The following is a 23,247-nucleotide window of genomic DNA, read 5'->3' as shown; positions in this document are numbered from 1 at the left end:
GTAACAACTTTTTTTTTTTTTTTTTTTTTTTTTTAAAGACGGAGTCTTGCTCTGTCACCCAGGCTGGAGTGCAGTAGTAGTCTTAAGTCACAGCAATCTCTGCCTCCTGAGTTCAAGTGACTCTTCTGCCGCAGCTTCCCAAGTAGCTGGGATTATAGGCGTGCGCCACCACACCTAGCTAATTTTTTGTATTTTAGTTTCACCATGTTGGCCAGGCTAGTCTCAAACTCCTGACCTCAAGTGATCCACCCGCCTTGGCCTTCCAAAGTGTTGGGATTACAGGCGTGTGCCCAGCCTATTGTAACAATTTTTAATTGTACAGTTCCATAGGGTTAAGTCTAGAATTTGTTCATCTTGCATATCAGAAACTCTGTATTATACACTATCTCCCTTGTTTGCCCTCCCTCCCAGCCCCTGACAGCCTTCATTGTACTTTCTATTTTTATGAATTTGACTACTTTAGATGCTTCATATAAATGGAATAATATAGTATTTGTCTTTTAGTGACTGGCTTATTTCACTTGGTAATAATGTCCTCAAGGTTCATCCATGTTGTAGCATGTGACAGGATTTCCTTCCTTTTGAAGGCTGAATAATGTTCCATAGTGTATATATACCACATTTTGTTTATCCATTCAACAGACACTTGGGTTGCCCCTACCTCTTGGCTATTGTGAATTGTGCTCCTATGAACATGAGTAGCCAAATACCTCTTCAAGATCCTGCTTCCAACTCTTTTGGATAAATATCCAGAAGCAGGATTGCTGGATCATATGGTAGCTCTATTTTGGATTTCTTGAGGAACTTCCTTACTGTTTTCTATAGCAGTTGCACCATTTTACAGCCCCAGTAACAGTGCACTTTCTTTATGTTCTTGCCAACATTCACTTTTATTTTTCTGTTAAAAAATGTGTTACGGTGTTGAATCTACATTCTGTATGAATGTTAAAGGTAAAACAGAAGGCTCCAAATAAATCATGATTTTTGTGGCAGATCCTCTAATGAAAGGAATATAGAACTTTTGATAAGTCCTGAATGATAAAAGAAATCCTCAGGATATTGTAATTGAGAAGAATTCATGCACATATATAGAGATAAAAAAACTTTGGCTGGGCACGGTGGCTCACGCCTGTAATCCCAGCACTTTGGGAGGCTGAGGTGGGTGGATCATGAAGTCAGGAGATCGAGACCATCCTGGCTAACACTGTGAAACCCCGTCTCTACTAAAAATACAAAAATATTAGCCGGGCATGGTGGCGGGTGCCTGTAGTCCCAGCTACTTGGGAGGCTGAGGCAGGAGAATGGCGTGAATCCGGGGGGCGGAGCTTGCAGTGAGCAGAGATCGCACCACTGCACTCCAGCCTGGGCAACAGAGCGAGACTCCATCTCAAAAGAAAAGAAAAAAAAAAGATAAAAAACTTCCTCTCAAAGCGGCATGTTACCAAGTACAACTTCATTTAAATACTTAGTACCACGGTTGTTGAGTAGACAGACGTCTTGAATTATGTCAATAATGTAAGACTTTCTGAAAGTGATACATTTTGAATGGGAGCTTGAAGGGAGATGGTGTGAACTGACAGCAAGAGGAGTGGGCATTAATATATAAAAAAATGTGATCTTAAAATTATACAAACATAGAATTTGACAACAGGAGCTAAGATTCAATGCTTTTTCTTCTCTATTTAGTAATAGCTGTAATTGGAAATAGTAACTGAGTTTATTTAATGAGGACAGATTAATTTTTTTGTGATTTTCATTGAGATTTGACAGTAAGTCTTCAAGTGCTGTAACGATTTGTGTCACACAATCCCTAGAAAGGATTCAAAGCTTACTTGATAAACACCATTTTGTTATCTAACCTCCTAGGACTGAGTGTTTTTGTTGTTTGTAATTTAGGGCAGGCTGTCCCTTTATTTTCTTTGTTGTTGACATGGCTACATGTACAAAAGAACACTTACTATCAAGAAAGCAAACACTGGAAAGCTGAAGTGTGTAAATAGCTAACAATGTGTTCTACTTGTACAAGTATTGCCTATCCTCTGCAAATCTAAGTCAACCTTCAAGCAATGACGTTTTCCATATGAATGAGGAGTGTAAGACTATTGTCCCATAAGTTCTATTTTTTTTTGTTTTTAATAGATTTTCTTCTTTCATAGGATATGTCTTAAGGCTTGTCCATCTTTAGTTTTTATTTCCCTTATTTTGCTGGTAATTTAAATTATTCTCACTTTGTATTTTAATTAACTTTTGCTTAAAAGTTTATTTTTGTTTTTAATGTAAATTGTGCGGTTCCCAAACTGAAACTAGAACAACCAGACAAGATATAAGTTATACTGTGACAGGATAATAGCAGTTTACATACTTGGACCAGACAGCTGGTGGTAGTTTCTGTCACATGTGACCATATTCTTTGATTGGTAGGTTTCAGTTGCGTGTGTCAGGAGGAAAGTCTTACTGTTCGTTTAACCTTAAATAGTTGGATGTTGGAAAATTAATATTTAGAAATAGATAAATGATTCTTTGAATGGTACAGTGTCAGAAGCAAAACAAAAAAAAAACAGTTTCAGTTTAGCTATGTGAATTTAATCTAATAACAAATTTTCAGCAAAAGATTTTACTCAAGTACCTTCCAAAGTGAGTTCCTTGGAATACCAGTTTTATAGGGTATTAGTAAACATTCTGTGAAGAAAGGGTGTTAACAGTCACATGGGTTGAGAAACCCTAGATTAAACAGTAGAAATCAGATTTCTTAACTCTGGGGCTTCTCAAAGCCTTTAATGTTTGAATGTTCATTGTGAATTGATTAGGAATGAGGGATAACCTGTAGTGTTTCTGAAACATTTGTAGAATTCTTTTTTCTTCGAGCATCTTGTAGAACTAATACTCTGTAAAGAAACCGTGGAACAATGGATTAGGAAGCATTTAGAGCAAGAGGTTTGTTGGAAGTTACAGGAGGTATGTATGGTTCAGATGAGGTTGAATCCCTATTCAGCCTAAGCGATAAGAATTTCATATCGTGGCTGGGTGTGGTGGCTCACATCTGTAATCCCAGCACTTTGGGAGGCCAAAGTGGGTGGATCACGTGGTCAAGAGTTTGAGACCAGCCTGGCCAACATGGTGAAACCCCATCTCTACTAAAAATACAAAAATTATCTGGGCGTGGTGTCAGGTGCCTGTTGTCCCAGCTACTCGGGAGGCTGAGGCAGGAGAATCGCTTGAACCCGAGAGGCGGAGGTTGCAGTGAGCTGAGATCGTGCCATTGCACTCCAGCCTGGGCAACAGAGCGAGACTCTGTCTCAAAAAAAAAAAGGAATTTCACATCTTGCAAAGACATTTCAACTAAACTTTATGTGTGCAACCTGCTTCCCAGTTTTATAGGTATGACCGGCATACTTTCATAGGTACTTGGCGACGCAGTACTGGGGATGAGCTGGCCTGCTAACTAGTAATTCATAATATTGTATTTGCACTTCACAACTTAGGGAAGAGCTGAAAGGTTGAGAAGAGGAAAAAGCAAATTTGTTTTATTGAAATATTTGGCATTACTCTATTTTGGAAAGTTAATAGCTGCCTTAATGATTTTTTAAGATTGTTAGAAGGAAACTGAGCTGCAGACTTACATTACTTGTTCAGTCCAAATTACACTTTCCCCATCTGTTTAACAAAAAATGCGTCATAGCTTAGGCTGCTATAACAAAATACTTAAACTGGGTGGCTTAAATGACAAAATTTATTTCTCATAATTCTGCAGGCTGGGAGGTTCAAGATGAAGGCACCGGCAGATTCCTCCTGCTGAGGGCCTGCTTCATGGTTCCTCGAGAGTATCTTTTTGCTCTGTCTTTACCTGGTAGAGAAAGGAAGCAAGCTCTCTCAGAACTAGTAGAAGGAATGTAAATATACTTAACACTACTGAACTGTAAACTTAAAAATGGTTGAGATGGTAAATTTAACGTTGTATGTTTTCTACCACAATAGAAAAAGTAAAAAGAGGGATATTAATTTCATTCATGAGGGCTTCTCCCTCATGACTTCTTCTAATCCTAACTACTTCCCGATGGCCCCATCTCCTAAGACCATTACATTAGGGGGTAGTGTTTCAACAAATGAGTTTTGGGGGAACACAAGCATTCAGTCTATAACAGAAGGCTTATAGAATTTTAGAGCTGTAGCAACGTTTAGCAATCATCCTATTTTTAAGATGAGAAAGCTAAACACGAGGGATAGTATGTAACTTGCTTTAATTCACAGCTATTTTGAAAGCAGGGTTTAGATTAGAATCCAGATCTCCTGGTTCGTAGTTTGATAATTTCCACTGCACTTTGCAACCCTCTATTGTGGCAGTGAGTTGTCTTTCTCTGTTGCTCATTATCTGTCTCTCTGTAAATATATTTTATTGTTTCTTTAGATTTTACCTCTGTAGGGGATTTTGCCTTTAGCATATTTTCTTCAGTTGTACGTGTTACTCCGTAAGTAACAAGCGATACTGATTTCTAGCCTATGCTCCTGTCTCCTAAAATGGTTCCATTTGATACTCTGGCAGTTTATGAATTGTAATTAATTAATGAAATTGGTTTAAATACTATTGAACACATTGTAAATTCAGTGACAATTTGTATAGAAGTGAAGAAGAGGGAAGACTGAGGTTCTTCCTCCCTCCCTGTGGTCTCAAGGCTTTAGTGACTGGTAGAATGGCAGTGCCGTTGAAAGAAATAGGTGTGGCCGGGCGTGGTGGCTCATGCCTGTAATCCCAGCACTTTGGGAGGCTGAAGCGGGCGAATCACGAAGTCAGGAGTTCGAGACCAGCCTGGCCAACATGGTGAAACCCTGTCTCTACTAAAAATACCAAAAATTAGCCGGGCGTAATGGTGGGCACCTGTAATCCCAGCTTCTTTGGAGGCTGAGACAGGAGAATTACTTGAACTCAGAAGGCAGAGGTTGCAGTGAGCCGAGATGGCGCCATTGCATTCCAGCCTCGGCAACAAGAGTGAAACTCTGCCCCCCGCCAATCCCCCACAAAAAAAAAGGAAGAAAGAAATAGGTGTATCTGATCCTGTCGGTTTGGTAGGGAGCATGATGTTTGTGGTTAGACATCTGGAGTTTTTAAATTTATAACTTTATCATTTATTCTGGTTACATAACTAATGCATTCTCTGTTTTAAAAATTTGACCAGTTTGGCATTTTGATGAATAAGGTGCTGCTAAGAGGTTAGGTATGAATGTCCAGCAAGTAGTTGAGATTTGTAGTTCTTTGTGTATTCTAGAATGAGTTGTTAATTTTTGGTTGGTTACATGTATGCAAATATTTTTCTCCCAGTCAATGGCCTGTTTTTTACTTTGTCTGTGGTGTCTGTTGTTGAACATAGGTTTTAAATTTTATTTTTTATTTTTATTTTTATTTTTTTCAAGACGGAGTCTTGCTCTGTCACCCAGGCTGGAGTGCAGTGGCGCGATCTCGGCTCACTGCAAGCTCCGCCTCCTGGGTTCACGCCATTCTCCTGCCTCAGCCTCCCTAGTAGCTGGTACTACAGGTGCCCACCACCACGCCCGGCTAATTTTTTGTATTTTTAGTAGAGACGGGGTTTCACCGTGTTAGCCAGGATGGTCTCGATCTCCTGACCTCGTGATCCGCCCACCTCGGCCTCCCAAAGTAATGGGATTACAGGCGTGAGCCACCGCGACTGGCCAGGTTTTAAATTTTATAGTAATCATATTTGTCCACATTTCCCTTTATTATTTCAGACCTGTTGCTCCAAGAAATCTTTCTTTCCCCCTAAGATATTATGATTATGATTCCTTTATTTTAAATAGTTTATGATTTTATGTTATGATTATTATTCCTTTATTTTAAATGGTTGATTTTTCATATTTAGTACTTTAATTGGAATTCTTTTTCTCTTTCTTTTTTTTTTTTTTTTTTTTTTTTTTGGTCAAGTAGGGATTTGTATTAGTTCAGGCTGCTGTAAATACCATATACTGGATGACTTAAACAACAGAAATTTATTTTCTCACAGTTCTGGAGACTGGAAGTCTATGATCAAGGTACCAGAAGGGTTGTTGTCTGGTGAGAGCTCTCTCATTTGGTTTGCAGACAGCTTACATTCTCCCTGTGCTCACAGGGCAGAAATAGTGAGGAAACTCTCTGGTGTCTTTTCTTATAAGGCCATTAATCCCATTGTGAAGGCCCTGTCCTCATGACTTGGTCTAAATCTGATTACCTCCCAAAGGCCCCATGTCTAAATACTATCACATTGGGGGGTTAGGGCTTCAACATATAAATTTTGGGGGGATACCATTTAGTCCGTAGAAGGATTTATTTTTTTTTTTTGAGATGGAGTCTCGCTCTGTCGCCCAGGCTGGAGTGCAGTGGCGTGATCTCGGCTCACTGCAAGCTCCGCCTCCCAGGTTCATGCCGTTCTCCTGCCTCAGCCTCCCGAGTAGCTGGGCCTACAGGCGCCTGCCACCACGCCCGGCTAATTTTTTGTATTTTTAGTAGAGATGGGTTTCACCGTGTTAGCCAGGATGGTCTCAATCTCCTGACCTCATGATCCGCCCGCCTCGGCCTCCCAAAGTGCTGGGATTACAGGCGTGAGCCACCGTGCCCGGCCCTGATTTAATTTTTAAAATGTTGCTAACAGTTGCCCCAGCATCTAATTGAATCAGCTGTCTTTTTCCCACTGATTTACAATGATAGAGTGTCTGTTTTTGGTCTTTTTTTTTTTTTTTTTTTGAGTTGAAGTCTCGCTCTGTCGCCCAGGCTGAAGGGCAGTGGCGCGATCTCGGCTCACTGCAAGCACCGCCTCCTGGGTTCACGCCATTCTCCTGCCTCAGCCTCCCGAGTGGCTGGGACTACAGGCGCCCGCCACCATGCCCGGCTAATTTTTTGCATTTTTAGTAGAGATGGGGTTTCACTGTGTTAGCCAGGATGGTCTCGATCTCCTGACCTCGTGATCCGCCCGCCTCGGCCTCCCAAAGTGTTGGGATTACAGGCGTGAGCCACTGCGCCTGGCCCTGTTTTTGGTCTTAATTTTGATCACTGCTTTGTCTTTAATTCTACCAATAGTACGGTCTTAATTATTAAAGTTATACAATAAATCTTAATATCTGAGATGGTAAAACTCCTAATTTGTTATTCTTCAAAATTGTCTTGGGTATTAGTGGCCCTTTCTTCTCTCATGTGAATTTTAGGAGAAGTTGATTAAATCACTCATGCACACACCACAGACACACACAAAACAAGACAAAAGTCCCCAAATGTATAGATTTTGTTTGTATTTACATTGTTATGAATGATCTGGGGAGAACTGACTTCTTTACAATATTGTGTTTTCTCAGCCATGATCATGGCAAATTTCCCCATTTATTTATTCTGTTCTTTTATATTGTAGAATAATATGTTGTTATTGTTTCCATGAGTCTTTGACATATTTTATTATATTCTCAGGTACTTTATAGTTTTTTTGGTATAACGCAAGGATTGCTTATCAATTATGCTTTCTAGTCATCAGAGGAACACATCTGATCCAGTAACCTTAGTGAACTCTCATATTAATCCTTGCAGTTTGTCTGCAGATGCTTTTGCATTTTTCCATGTAGTCTGCTGTGTTGTCTGTATGCAGAGTTAGTTTTGTTTCTCCCTTTCTACTACTGATCTTTTTCTTATCGATTTTGCATGATGCTGAATAGAGGCAGTGATAGAGGCCATCCTTGTTGTTTTTTTTTTCTTTAGTGGGAATGCCTTTAAAATCTCACCATGATATGTAATGTTTGCTGTTGGTTTTTATAGCTGTTACCAGTTTAAGAAAGTTCCCTTCCATTCGTATTTTTGCTTTTTTAAATCTTGAAATCGATTCATTTTATGATTGTTTTCTGGAAATTAAAAGGTTATTCTTTGGTGTATTTCTTGCCTTAAGTACACTATTACAAAACTAAATGAATGAGCCTATATGTAACTGAGGGTAACTTTAAAAAATTAAAATAATAAAGGAGTCCTCTCGGTCTTAAACATTTATAATCCAGTATAGAAAATTTGGAAAATAGTCAAAGCACATTAAAAGAAGTAAAAATTAGTCATAATCACCCTATTTAAGATGTTTTCTTCTGTTGATACCTTATGAAGTATAGAGATAGGCTGCCTCAATCTCTACTTTCCGCTAGGTTACCACTTAAACAATTCATACACATTGCTGCTACCTTTTTTCTCTTGCACTTTCCATGTAGTCAGCATACAAAAAGAAAGTAGACTAATGAAATATTTATCTATACACATATATAACCTTTATAGAAATCTCCAAGTGGGATCATGCCATATATATATACACACACATATATATACACATATATATACTCACACACATATATACATATATATACACATATATACACAAATATATATAGCAGCTTTTCTAATGCAACAATATTTAATTGACATTTTCTGAGTTCAAAAAAATGCTACTTAGATCCTTATGTGAATTACAAACCACATTACAAACATTCTCCAGTTTGGGACTATTGCAATAATTGTGAATACACATGTATATACATCTTCAACTACTTGTGCTAGCTAGCATTTTTGTGTGATAGAGTCCTAGAAAAAGGCCTGAGATGCCTCGAATTTTCCACGTCTTGAAAATCATTTTTATGACGACCTGTGGAAAGAGATGTTTTCAATTAAGTGTCTCAGGATTTTCAGTTTGTATATTGTGGTTCAAAATAGGAGAAAGTGGAGCCATCAGAATACATTAGTCATGTCTACACATCAGTCCCATGGACTCATAGCACTTGGATGGATCGTTCCACCCCGGGAAAGAGCCTTAGTGATCATCTGTTTGGATCCTTCTTTTCATAGATGAATAAGCTGAAAATCTGGAAGATTTTCAAAGTAAATAATACTTGAGACTTATAATATGCCAGGCAGTGTGCTATCTCCTTTACTTACATCGTTTCATTTAATTCTTGAAGTAGGAATTCTCATTTACCCTTCACAGTTGAGGAAACAGGTTAGAATTTAGGCAGACAACTTCCTCAAGGTCACACAATTGGAAAGTGATAGAGCTCAGGTTTGGAGACATATCTACCTGATTCTGTAGCCCATATACTTTTCACTAAGTTACTTCCATTCTGAGAGAGCGTAACCAGGATACAAGGTAAATACATGATACTCAGATTGTTTCTGTAATGCTTTGATTTCACGACGTGAAGAGTTAAACATAGTCCTCATCTACCACTTAGTCATCCTTCCTAGCAAGGACATTAGAGTGCTGCAGAGACTCCACTTCACAGAGTTTGCAGTGGAGGAAACTAGCCCTTATGTTTGTGTGGCTCAGGATAGCTGTCCAAGGTGAGATAGATCAGAATAAAAACACAAAACAAATGAGAAATTAACTTGGAAATAGATAACACTTTGTGTGATATTTCCCCTCCTCCCTTGCAAATTCTTTTCTCTTCTTTTGGTTGCTAGAAGAATTGCTTGGTCTCTAATTGCTGAAGATTTTGTTTTTTGAGACTAGGTTTCATTGTGTCACTCAGATTGGAGTACAGTGGCATATTCATAGCTTACTGCAGCCTCAAACTCCTGGGCTCAAGGAGTCCCCCACCTCAGCCTCCTGAGTAGCTGGGACTATGGATATGGCTAATTTTTTTTTTTTTTTGTAGAGATGGGGTCTTGCTATGTTGCCTAGGCTGGTCTTGAACTCCTGGCTTCAAGCCATCCTCCTGCCTTGACTTCCCAAATGCTAGAATTACAGGCATGAGCCACCACACCTGGTCCTGAAGATCTTTTTAATCATAATATCTTAATTTGAGTATATAATAGATTGAGCCTCAGCAATGAGAACAGAGGGATTTCTTGAGCAAAGAAAATTCCTGTTTCAAACCAGTCGTTTTTGTATGTGTCTGTGTGTGAGACAGAGTCTCATTCCATCACCCAAACCAGAGTGCAGTGGTGCAATCTTGGCTCACTGCAACCTCTGCCTCCCCAGTTCAAGCAATTCTTGTGCCTCAGCCACCTGAGTAGCTGGGATTACAGGTGTGTGTCACCACTCCTGGCTAATTTTTGTATTTTTAGCAGAGACAGGGTTTTGCCATGTTGGCCAGGCTGGTCTTGAACTCCCGGCCTCAGGTGATCTGCCTGCCTCATCCTCCCAAAGTGCTGGGATTATAGGCATGTGCCACTGCACCCGGCTGAGACTATTTTTCTAACTCAGTTTGTACAGGCCCTAGCATGGTGCGTGGGTATGAGAGAAAAAGAGACTGGAGCTCCAATGGAGGATGCCTCAGTTCTCTCTCTCTCTCTCTCTCTCTCTCTCTCTCTCTCTCTCTCTCTCTCTCTCTCTCTGTGTGTGTGTGTGTGTGTGTGTGTGTGTGTGTGATTGTTGGAGGCCAGGCCTGGCTTACTTCCTGAGCCTAATTCAATTGGAGTGTTTCCATAGAGAGGGGGAGATACCATCTAGTCCAGTTTAGCATCCACATTCATTTCTCTCCATCTCCATATGGAGCTGAACAGATCACTCAGGTCTAACCAAGTTCCCTGAGAGTTTTACAACCTTGTTACTGCTTTGGAAAGACCATTATACTCCAGCTTTGTGTAGAACAGAGAGAGACAAGGGCTGTCTTTTGAATATATTCCACTCTTATCTAACGACACAGAGTTGTCGTAACCTACCTATAATAATAACCTTTGTGATACTGGAGCTGCCAGCGTGTGAGGAGGGACATTCTTTCAGGTGTCCCTTCATCTTCATCTCTGATTAGTATATTCTGTTTGTAAAGGCAATGCTTGAGCCAGTAGCTTTCAAACATTTTTGAATGGGATCCAAATAGGAAATACAGTTTGTTTTGCTACCCTTCTCCCACATATACCAGAAACAAAAGATTCATGAAATAAATCTTGCATTTACTGCATGCAGTGTTGTGTTCTATTATTTATTTCATCTAAAAATGCTGACACCCACTATATTGATTTAACAAACCACTGATGTGTCAAGATCTACAATTTTTATTTATTTATTTATTTATTTATTTGTTTGTTTATTTTGTGATGGAGTCTTGCTCTTGTCACCCAGGCTGGAGTGCAATGGCACGATCTCGGCTCACTGCAACCTCCATCTCTAGGGTTCAAGCAATTCTCCTGCCTCAGCCTCCTGAGTAGCTGGGATTACAGGCGCCGGCCACCACACCTAGCTAATTTTTGTATTTTTAGTAGAGACAGGGTTTCATCATGTTGGCTAGGCTGGTCTTGAACTCCTGACCTCATGATCCCTCCACCTCAGCCTTCCAAAGTGCTGGGATTACAGGCGTGAGCCACCGCGCCCAGCCCAGACCTACAATTTAAAAGTAACGCTGGCTTAAGGAGACCATTTCTTATTCTTCTTCATAACTGTGTATTATTCTTGTTACAGTTTAACTTCCTCATAGAGTTAATCTTGCAAAAACGTGTACCTAGTAATGTCAGTGTACATAGAGTTGTCCTGGGAACTATGTCTGTCTTCATGGCACTGTCCACGGAGTACACACTTAGAACTGACAAGATCACTGTATGACTTGTTAACATGTGAATCACTGGTGGACATGGAGACTCTTGCTGTTTTGTTGATTTGGAAATGGTAGTTCTGAACTTGCCAAATTGGGTATATGTTATTTAGTATAAGTTACAAAAAAAGACCAAAGGTTTTCAGAATGTGTGTTTATTCTTCAAGGTTCTGCTCATTTCTTTTAGCATTGTAGTTTGATTGTAGTTTCTGATGCTGCTCTTAGTGGTCTGCAATCTTCACCTCATAAGATGCTCTAAATTTTCTGACTTTTACATGCTGGAAGTCTGTTCAAACCAGCCTTATAGAATGCTGGATAATACTGCTTATTGTGATTTACTTCCCTGGAGATCAAGCTCATCTTAGAATCAAGCCTTTCCACATGAATGTGAGGATTCTGGATGCTTTATTCTTTCTCTCATCTCTGTCTCTCTTCCATCAGGGGGATGGTTTTGACTGATGAGCTATTTTTCCCAATTGCAAATCAACTATACTTCTAGCTGTGAGAAAGGGATCTTTCTAATCAATTGGGTCTTGCCTTCTGCTTACTATGTGAATTCTAATGACCAAGCTCTTTATTTTTTTAAAAAAAGTAAAATAAGAGAATTTAAATTAATTACTTGATTTTGTTGTAACACTTTAATAAGTTTAGTGAAAATATTCAGGCCGGGCGCGGTGGCTCACGCCTGTAATCCCAGCACTTGGGAGGCCGAGGCGGGCAGATCACGAGGTCAGGAGATCAAGACCATCCTGGCTAACACAGTGAAACCCCGCCTCTACTAAAAATACAAAAAATTAGCTGGGTGTGGTGGCGGGTGCCTGTAGTCCCAGCAACTCTGGAGGCTGAGGCAGGAGAATGGCGTGAACCCAGGAGGCGGAGCTTGCAGTGAGCCGAGATTGTGCCACTGCACTCCAGCCCGGGTGACAGAGCAAGACTCCGTCTCAAAAAAAAAAAAAAAAAAAAAAAAAAAAAAAAAAAAAAAGAAAATATTCAGCATAGTTTCTTTTTGGCAAATAAATAAATTTAAAAGGTCCCTTAATTTGATGGTTATGTGTTGACTGAAACAAGTGCAAAACAAGTCCATACAAATGATCCTATAAATAGAATTAAATATTTAAATTTGTTATTGAAAGCTGCCTTTCTTAACAAGGGAGCATGGTTTCTAATTTAGACTATAGATAATTTCCTCATTGTTTGTGCCGTATCCATCGTTGGTAGTCATTCTAAAAGACAAAAGAAAAGTACTAACGTCTAATTATTCTAAGGGGTGTGTAAAAATATGGGATCTGCCCAGAGAATGTTTAGAAATCATGAAATCATTGTTACCCTGCAGTCACACCCCTTAGTAATCCTTAAGTTTTTTTTTTTTTTTTTTTTGAGACAGAGTCTCACTGTGTCGCCCAGGCTGAAGTACAGTGGTGTGATCTTGGCTCACTGCAAGCTCCGCCTCCCAGGTTCATGCCACTCTCCTGCCTCAGCCTCCCAAATAGCTGGGACTACAGGTGCCCGCCACCACACCCGGTTAATTTTTTGTATTTTTAGTAGAGATGGGGTTTCACCATGTTAGCCAGGATGGTTTCAATCTCCTGACCTCGTGATCCTCCTGCCTCGGCCTCCCAAAGTGCTGGGATTACAGGCGTGAGCCACCGCGCCCGGCCAGTTCTTAAGTTGTAACAGATTACTTTTCATTCTGAATTTCATATTGAACATGATAATCTTAATTTTGGATACAGACTATTCCCATAGCATTTTAGATTTCGTAAGAAAGTATATGTAGGCTGTTTTATGTGAAAAGAAGAGAGATTATTTAGCTCCATGTCTTTGAGAAAATAGTTATGGATTACAATTTATGAGTATTTTATACATGTTCACATTCTTTTGTATCATGTTTCTTTATGTCTAGGACCTGATGTTTACTTGGCTTAAACTGAACCTAAAATTAGTAGTTAGTTAATAAACTCTCTTTAAGGATTACATTTTTTTTTTTTTTGTCCTAGATGGACTCAAAATAATACTAGAGTAATGCTTTACTTCTTATCTTGGGTGACTAGATGTCAAGATGTCATCCCAAATCAGGTCCATAATAAAATCTCCTTGGGACATGGTTCTGCTCACTCTTAGAGTAGGAAACAATAGACCAGAAGGATGGAGAAAGATGGCAGAAGAAGATGTGTAAAGGGATGGAAGGTATTTGTTAATTTTTTTCTATTGCTTTGGAGACTTACCATGGCATGCTAGAACAGTTTCCTAATCTGTTCGTCAAGACACTGGTGCTTTTATAGGGCCCCTTTAGTATTTCTCCACTGGATGAATGATTTGTAGCACTTATGAAGAAAGGACTGGAGGAATATTTTTTTAAGCGGCGGTTATACCAGTTATAATTGAGCATACTTCTATTTCATCAGCCGGTTATCATAGACTTTTTATTCAGTTCCCTAGTAGTTTAATGCCTTATGCCCCTGTTTGTTCTGAATTAATTTCATTTCTTAAATATGTGAAGATTAAGCTGATCTGCTTCAATGTGTATTTAGGGACACTGTGTTTCCCATTTATCACCTGCTGCTTCTCTTTAGCAGTAAAATTAAATTGACATTTGTTAAAAGATGTTTTGATCTATCTTTGGAAAGGGTAGTAAAGAATAATTAGTCACAGTAATTTTCCCCCCATTTTGTGTGCAAATTTAGGTTGCTTGGTGAAATATTCTAATTTTTTAATGGTGATAGAGAATTCTTGCTTTAGTTTTGTGGTTTAAACAGTTGAAAGTCCGATGAATCCTTGAAGCATTAGTAATTTAGCAGCCTTGTAAACTAGCCTCTTTTACTTGGGTAGCTCACAAGGCTGGCACCAGCATCAGTCCTACAAAGTGGTTTACTCTTTTTCCCTCGGCCCAGAGGCTGGCCCTAGTCCTATCAGTTGAAAGACTGTCTACAGCTATGCAGTGTGGGCAACTCACTTGAAATTGTTACTCAAAATATGAAGTCAGGACTTGAGGAAGTATGACTTTAGCCTTCCTGGGTGACAGGGTTAACATTTATATGCCTCAGCGGATAACAGTCAGCATACTTACCATGGAGGGAATCAAATGTGTGTGGGAAGCAGAATGCCTCAAAGAACTGCTGAGATTCAGGTGCTAAGGTGATAAAACACGTACATTTTATATTGAACATAGTTTGGTATTCTAGGTCAGGCACCCCATTCTCCAACTCCATGGTTCTAAGGCCCCACCAAGAATAAATTTTCTATAAGCAGGAAGCAAGAGATACAACTGTTATGGAACTTAGTAAGAATTTTTATTCTGTTCCACATGACTGTCACTTTGAGTTTCTTGAGGCCGTTATGATTAGATGGGTACTACCTTGCTGGAGGTTCTCATCTCTAGAGTAGGAACATCTTAGGTAGTATTCCACAGTATTATTTAATACCATATCAGGGAAGGGGAGGAAGAAATTCTGCTTTATTTGTTATTATGTTGATTCTTGTCCATGAGGCAGGTGCCTTTTGAAGACACATCTGGACTGATTTTAGACCCAGGGCTACTGCATTAAAGGCCCTTCCTGCCTGGGAGCACCTCCCCATTAGTTTCTCTGTGACTCTTGGTACTTGTGCAGTCCCTCTGGGAAGGATGGCTGAGCTCCCTTTCTGTGTCAGCTTCTGGGTTCATGTGGCAATCAAGTCAGGATGGCTTACTCCATACATCCTTGCCCACCCTTGGATGCATAGAGCTCTATTTCCTCCTCTGCCTCCCCCATTCAGTTGCGTCTTGGAGAGCACTCTACTTGTTGACTGTTTCTCAACCTCAGCCTCAACCTCTTGTACTATTAATTAGTCCTCATAAGGCATTCTTCAGCCTTACGTCTGCTGTCCACAGTATCTCCTTACCTCTGATACTTCCAGGGCCACCTTTCCAGTAACTCTACAGCCCTCTCTGCCAGAGATTGATCCCTTGCTTTCTTTTAGCTTGCTGGCCAGGTTTCTGTTGTCAAATTTAGGAATCCCTTTCTCAAGTTTCTTTCATAATATGAACTGTAAGATTTCAGAGCTTTCAAGTTTTCTTTTGCAGGGACTAATCTTTCAATTTACAACAGTCAGTAACCAGTTTGTTTGTGTCTTTGTTGTAGTGGCTCATTATGAGTTTTATGTAACATTCTTTAATAGTAGTATTTTACTGCCTTACTCAACAGAGAGACTTCCATTTTGACAAGGTGTTGAAAAGAGCTGAATCTTTAGCCTACAGTTTTACCCACGTGGTGGTTGGAAAAGTTTCGCATGGATTAGCTTCTTTATACATTCCAAACCTGTTTCTTCTCCACTACCCACCTACTTCATCACCAGGCATAGTAGGACACACAGTAAGCTCTCCAGCCTGTACTGTTGTGTCCTGATGCTGAGTTGGCACAGTGGGCAGTGGGAATATTCCAGAAAGCTATTCCTATACCAAGAGGGCCAGCACTACAGAAACCACATTAAATATGTCCCCAACTCAAATTTCCCCTTATCTAGACCCTCCAAGGTTCCAGGGCCACACCAAAGCCACCCTACATGAGGAAAAGTGTGAAGTTTGAATGGAAAGAAAGTGTTCTTAACAGATTGCAGTTAAAATATCTTTCTTTTGCACATTCTACAAAAATATATGACCATGTAATACATTGCTAGGGCCTCCAAATTCTACAGAAACATGTGACCATGTGAATATGTGCCTTGGGCCTCCCAAGGCCTTGGAAGGGGCCTGTGCAAGTGAGGAGCCCTGAAGCTTGTTCTGTTAGCCTTGTTGTAAATTACCTCCAATCAGTCTGTATCTTCCAGTAGAGAAATATCAGAACATCATAGCAAAGTATGGTTAGAAACAGTGCTTTTTAGAGTGTTTTATACATATAGTTGGCACTGGAGAATCATTGAGATGAATTAACTATCATTATTATTGATAATTATTAACTATTATTATTATTGGTAATTAATTCATTTCAATGATTCAATGCAGACACTTTCCATTTACTGGGCACTGTTAAGAGCACTTAACATATCATCTCACTTAAGTCTTAGGAAGTTCAATTATTATTATTATTATTATTATTATTTTGAGATGGAGTCTCGCTCTGTCACCCAGGCTGGAGTGCAGTGGCATGATCTTGGCTCACTGCAAGCTCCACCTCTCGGGTTCAAGCCATTTTCCTGCCTCAGCCTCCCCAGTAGCTGGGACTACAGGCGCCCGCCACCACACCCGGCTAATTTTTTTGTATTTTTAGTAGAGATGGGGTTTCACCGTGTTAGCCAGGATGGTCTCAATCTCCTGACCTTGTGATCCGCCTGTCTCAGCCTCCCAAAGTGCTGGGATTACAGGCTATTATTTTCTTTTTAAAATTATTTTTATTTTATTTCTAGCTGGGTGTAGTGGCTCACTCCTGTAATCCTAGCAATTTGGGAGGCTGAGGCAGGCAGACCACCTGAGGTCAGGAGTTTGAAACCAGCCTTGCCAACATGGCAAAACCCTCTCTTTACTAAAAATTCAAAAATTAGCTGGGTGTGTTGGCACATGCCTGTAATCCCAGCTACTCGGGAGGCTGAGGTGGGAGAATCGCTTGAACCCAGGCAGTGGAGGTTTCAGTGAGCTGAGATTGTGCACTCCAGCCTGGGTGACAGAGTGAGACTCCATCTCAAAATAATAATAATAATTTCTAAGTTTTTTTGTAGAGACAGGGTCTGGTTATGTTGTCTAGGCTGGTTTTGAGCTCCTGCCCTCAAGCAATCCTCCTGTCTCAGCCTCCCCAAATGCTGGGATTATAGGCATGAGCCTCTGTGCCTAATCTTACTTTCATTTTAAAGAGGAGAAATCTGAGGCACGGAGATTCTAAATAACCTGTCAATAAATAGTAGCACTGGGGTCAAAGCTCAGACTCCACGGTTCACTTCCTGACCGCCCCTGCACTGCCTCTCAAATCCTAATAGAGCTGCCGTGATCCCAATCCTCACAAGGCCAGAAAGTGACCTTTCCAGCATGCTTAGTAGGGATGTATTTTGTTTTCCCTACTTTAGGAGAGTTAAGAAGAGAAAGATTTGTAGAAGAGAAGCTAGAATGAAAGGAGCCATAAATAGGGTTCTGGAGAAAACACAAAAATTGAGACAGGTTAGGCAGTGAGAGGGCAGGTTATTGAATAGCTGCTTAATTGCACTGTGTTTTCCAGACTCTGGGAAATACTTTTCACATTTTTGATTTTTTAGTCCATATATGCTTTATGGATATATAGAGGTGATTTGGTAATGTTCCCCTGCCATCTGAAAAACTATGTTGAAACCGTTAGCACAAATGAAAATGGCGTCTTGGAAAAACAGCACATACATGGTTGCTTCAAGGATATCGCCCAATACCTTCATTTGCGGAGAAGGCATAATTAAGAGAAAATAGCTTAAATAATACAGGAAGAGTCTGATGAAACATAAGGAATGTTTTCTTAATAATCATGTTAGAACAGTGCTCCAAAAAGGGAAGCATAGGATTTCAGTCTTTAAAGGTAAATAAAATATAATTATAAAAACTTTCCATCTCAAGTAGGTTCAGAGTTGACTTCTAGCCATGATTTGAAATTCTTTCTCCCACTAAAGAGAGTATCAGCATATAAATTAACCTTACTGTGGTACCTTGTTGGATAAAATTCTTTATAATGCACCTCATTCACTACAGTCTTACTAGTTAGTAGTATCAGCTCTCACCCGTGCTGATGGGCAGGAATTACTTTTAAGTGTCTTATGCAATTAACAGCCATTAACCGGCACACCTGTCTTAAAAGCACTGCCTATGGTTCTGAGGGTCCTAATACCATTGCAGTGCTGTCACCGCAGTGACTGGAGCACCAGGGAAACTATTGGCATTGGCATGGAATGGCCCTATTTGTCCCATTTCTTCAACCAAAGTGTCTTCACTAAAGTCTTTAGCCAGACTTCCTTCTTTGACCACCAATTTTATCTTAATTCTGTGGGTATCATATGAACAGTCCTGGTTTTATCTTATAGAAAGGAAGGTATCAGAGGGAGGTTGGGGTAGATGTCTCCCCATCTAATGCTAACATTAATCATTTATCCCTGGGACTTTGCAAAAAATGATGTTAGGTTGAGACAAAGTGGTACTTTTTCTTGTAATTGCTTTAGGGAATCATAGGGAGGAAGGTACAGGGGCTTGTGTGAAGCCATCATCAAGTTGCTTTATAATAAAAGCCAGAAGACATGTAAACACCAATATAGTTAACACAGAGTTTAATAAAGAATGAGTTTAAATTCTAATTTTGATATGAATAATTAAATATTTCCTAAAGCGAAATTTGGTAACATAAGGTTGTTTGTAGGTAAGGCAAAAGGAGTTCTAAAAATATGTTTAACCAGTCAGTTGCATTTATCAATCACAGTTGCAAACATAATTCATATTTTAAAATATATGTATATAATGAATTACATATATTATCTATTTAATTCAGAGTAGGTTCCAAATTTTCTCAATTATTTATTACCTATGTCTTTCTTCAAATAATGCCAGCAATTATGGGTCCTTGATAATAATGAAATATTCTACAGTTGAAGCAAGAAGGTACTCTGAAAGCTTACATCTCTATAAATTAATGCTTCAAATAATTTAATACTTCAAAATGCTTTGAAAAACTCCATGAACGTATTTGATAAAATAGTATAAGACAATCATAATGAAGCAGTTTAAAATGATGTGCTGGCCAGGTGTGGTGGCTCACGCCTATAATCCCAGCACTTTGAGAGGCTGTGGCAGGTGGATGGCTTGAGCCCAGGTGTTGAAGACCAGTCTGGGCAACATGGCAAAACCCTGTCTCTACAAAAAAATCAGGAAATTTAGCTCGGTTTGGTGGCACATGCCTATAGTTCAGAGGCTGAGGTGGAAACATCACCTGAACCTGGGAGGTCAAGACTGCGTCGTGCCAGGAAAAAAATAATAATTTTTTTTTTTTTTTGAGACAGTCTCGCTCTGTCACCTAGGCTGGAGTGCAGTGGCATGATCTCGGCTCACTGCAACCTCCACCTCCGGGGTTCAAATGATTCTTGTGCCTCAGCCTCCCGAGTAGGTGGGACTACAGGCATTTCTCTGCAGAGGACTACCGTACCCCTAGTCCTCTGAGTGCCTTGATTGCTTTAGGCACTCAACAAATAGTGGAGACAGAAATACTATGCATTAGTGGTCCCCAACCTTTTTGGCACCAGAGACTGGTTTCATGGAAGACAGTTTTTCTGTGGACCAGAAAAGGGGGGGATAGTTTAGGGATGATTCAAGCTCATTACATTTATTGTGCACTTTATTTCTATTATTATTACATTGTAATATATGGTGAAATAATTTTACAACTCATAATGTAGAATCAGTGGGAGCCCTGAGCTTGTTTTCCTGCAACTAGATAGTCACACCTGGGGGTGATGGGAGATAGTGACAGATCATCAGGCATTAGATTCTCATAAGGAGTAGCAACCTGGATCCCTCTTAGGTGCAGTTCACAATAGAGTTTGTGCTCTTGTGAGAATGGGGATGGGGAGTGGCTGTAAATACAGATGAAGCTTTGCTCACTCTCCCCTGCCTTGCCACTTACCTCCTGCTGTGTGGCCTGGTTCCTAACCCCTAGGGGTTGGGAACCCATGCTGTACATCATGGTGGGCAAACAACCACTTGAGGGCCAAATATGGCTCATTGCCAACTTTTATAAATAAAGTTTTATTAGAACACAGCTACACCCATTTATTTACTTATTGACTGATTGCCTTTGCACTATAGCAGCTAGTTGAGTAGTTACAACAGAGACTGTGTGACCCACAAAGTTAAAGTAATTACTATTTAACTATTTACTGAAAGTTTGCCCATCTCAGCTCTACGTTTGTAACTGCAGGCTCTCACAATTCCACGTCTTGTAATTTGGAAGTCACAGAATAAATCAAGTAATATGCTTTGAGGAATTAACTTACTACTCTTCATTAATGCATGTGCTTGACTATTGTAAGGTTACATATGATTATTAAAATTATAGGAGTTAAACATATGTTTCAAGGATAGAATACACAATTACTCCTTTTTGTAATTTGTAAAACAATGTTTGGCTAAATCTTACATTACTAGTTCTTTTTTCTACCTAATAAGGTTGTTTCATTGAAATGGAACAAAAGCATGGTAATTACCAAGCTTATCTCTCTCTCTCTCTTAGCTTATCCTATTTTAATGTAGTTTGCCTTAATCTTGTGAAAACTTTCTAATTATAGTATGAATTTGCATTCTTAAAATATGTGTTCTAAATCAGGTTAACTCATAAAGTATTATTTTAAGTTGATATTCATTAAGTGTATATATACACATATACATGAGAAACTGATTAGAATAGCTATAAAACAGATGTAAATTCAACATTTTCATTCATTCATTCCTGATAAAACTTTGATTGAACTTTTTACAGGGAATTGTGGATGTCCTAAGGATTGAGTCACAGACACCCTTCCTCACCCAAGAAAGAGCATAAGAAGTAAAGCAGAAAGCATATTTCATGAAATAAGCTGTAAGAAGAGAAGGCCTCTGAGATAATATAGAGAATTAGGTTGTCAAATCAGGAACTGGGTACCAGTGGCTCACACCTGTAATCACAGCACTTGTGATTAGAGGAGGCTGAGGTGGGAGGATCTGAAGCCAGGAGTCCAGACCAGCCTGGGCAACATAGTGAGACCCCATCTCTACAAAAAATAAAAATTAGCTGGGTGTGGTGGTACATGCCAGTAGTCCCAGCTGCTCAGGAGGCTGAGGCGGGAGCATCTCTTGAGCCCAGGGGTTGAGGCTGCAGTGAGTCATGATCATGCCATTGCATTCCAACTTGGGCAACAGAGTGAGACCCTGTCTCAAAAATAAGAGAAAAAAAAGTGTCAAATCACATTCACAAGAATCAGCCCTTAGCTTACATCAAGGTTTACTAATAATGTTCAGGAATACGAGTAGTCCTCAGGTACAGGATAGCCATCCATCCCTACTCTCCAGGTCCTCTCTAGCTGCACTAGGATGCTGTGGGCCCAGATTTAAGGTACAAGGGCTTAGAAGCAATGCCTGTGGTATGTTAGGAAGCTGTTTCCATTAGGAATCATTTTCGCTTTGTACTCCAGTGGTTGCATAACTTATGTGACATATTTTCCAAGGGGCTATACTCCCTATATTGAAAGATTCCAAATTTGTTAACCAGAAGTAATCCTAGACAGATTAGATACGTCCTGCTAAAATCCATCGATAGGGACTTTCTTACTAATAAACACCATTGGATTGTTTGTCAAGAGATCTGACACTAGTATGTTTACAAGGAGAATTGACCAGGTTAACTACCTCCTTTCTTTATTTACTAGGAGTGTTTCCATAGACCCCTCCCCACCCTCCGCTCCCTGCTCTTAAGGAGAAATGAACTGTAGGTTTGCTGCTAACCATTTTTTCCCAATCTCTCCCTCCAGCCTGAGCAGAGACAAGACAATAATAATATAGCCAGGTCAGTTAGCATGTGTGCTGAGTTTTCTTCTGTTCTCTTTTGTTAAAGTTTGAGATTTGTGGATGTGCTTACATTTTGAGTATGATTCTTGTCTCTTCAGAATAGGAAAGGAAGTGTCCAAATGAGCCTTTCTGATGCTCAAACCCTCATGATGTCATTGTTTTCTAAATATTCTTGTTGCCACTCTGTGGAATGTAGTTTAAATATCTTATCCCACCATCTCAAGGCAATGCACAGGCTGCTCCCAACTTACCTTTCCAACTTTCTTGGCTTCCATTTTCTTGAAGAATCCTCTTTGCCAACTATATATTGCTGCCTCTACCTCAAGTGTGCCTTCCTTATTTCTTTGACTTTTCCTAAGTTCCTTCTTCCAGGAATGCACTCTCTCTCACTCTCCTCCCTGTTCTCTCAATTCGAGATTAAATCTCACCTGTTCTGAAAAACTGTCTCAATTTGCAGCAGACTCTTTTTGGAATTAGTAGTTACTGTCTGTGTCTGTCACCTGGAACTTGCCTTTCTTCTTAATTAGATCATGAGCTCCTTCAGGGTGGGCACTATCTTAGGTGCTTAGGTGCAGTACTGAGAAGATTAATCTTTATCTACTAGGAGCTTGAGCTATGTGTTGTTAAAATACTTGAATACTGCTACTACTAACTAATAATAGTGATGAGAATGGAAATTTTGCTTTGTGGAAAAGCGTTAAACAGTTATCAAGGGCACACATAAATTTACCTATTGAAACACGAGGAAGGGCCAGGTGCGGTAGCTCACGCCAGTAATCCCAGCACTTTGGGAGGCTGAGGTGGGTGGCTTACTTGAGCTCCGGTGTTCCAAACTAGCCTGGGCAACATGGTGGAAACCCGTCTCTACCAAAAATACACAAATTAGCTGGGTGTGGTGGTGTGCGCCTGTGGTCCCAGCTGCTTGGGGGGCTGAGGCAGGAGTATCGCTTGAAAACCCAGGAGGCAGAAGCTGCAGTCAGCCGAGATTGCGAGATTGCACCACTGCACTCCAGCCTGGGCAACAGAGCAAGACTTCATCTAAAAAAAAAGGAAGTATATTTGGAAAAGTAATCATCAAACATGTAAGTGTCTTTTATGTACTTGCCACTGTGCCAGAGATCCAGAGATGAATCAGGTGTGGCCCTTGTCCTTAAGAGCACAGTCTCATGGCAAGACACATACATTTTTTCTTTGCGTTTTTAAAGTGTTTTGCT

General features: G+C 39.9%; 1 protein-coding gene across 11 annotated transcripts in view, besides 1 other annotated feature; it reads left to right on the top strand.

Annotated features, from left to right (window-relative positions):
- The window catches only part of AVEN (apoptosis and caspase activation inhibitor), a 223,545-nt gene that overhangs the window by 131,468 nt on the left and 68,830 nt on the right, over positions 1 to 23,247 (top strand). The gene's annotated exons all lie outside the window — the stretch shown is intronic.
- Positions 2,358 to 2,407: a silencer, noted in NCBI's record as "silent region_6272". NCBI's record gives its function as "represses an Ori minimal core promoter by ATAC-STARR-seq in GM12878 lymphoblastoid cells {active_cell/tissue: GM12878}" and the evidence as "EXISTENCE:reporter gene assay evidence [ECO:0000049][PMID:35858748]".

The sequence above is a fragment of the Homo sapiens genome, chromosome 15 (assembly GCF_000001405.40).
Source record: "Homo sapiens chromosome 15, GRCh38.p14 Primary Assembly".
NCBI classification, from domain to species: domain Eukaryota; kingdom Metazoa; phylum Chordata; class Mammalia; order Primates; family Hominidae; genus Homo; species Homo sapiens.
The sequence above is the reverse complement of the archived record's forward strand: the minus strand, read 5'-3'. Positions and strand labels throughout refer to the sequence as shown.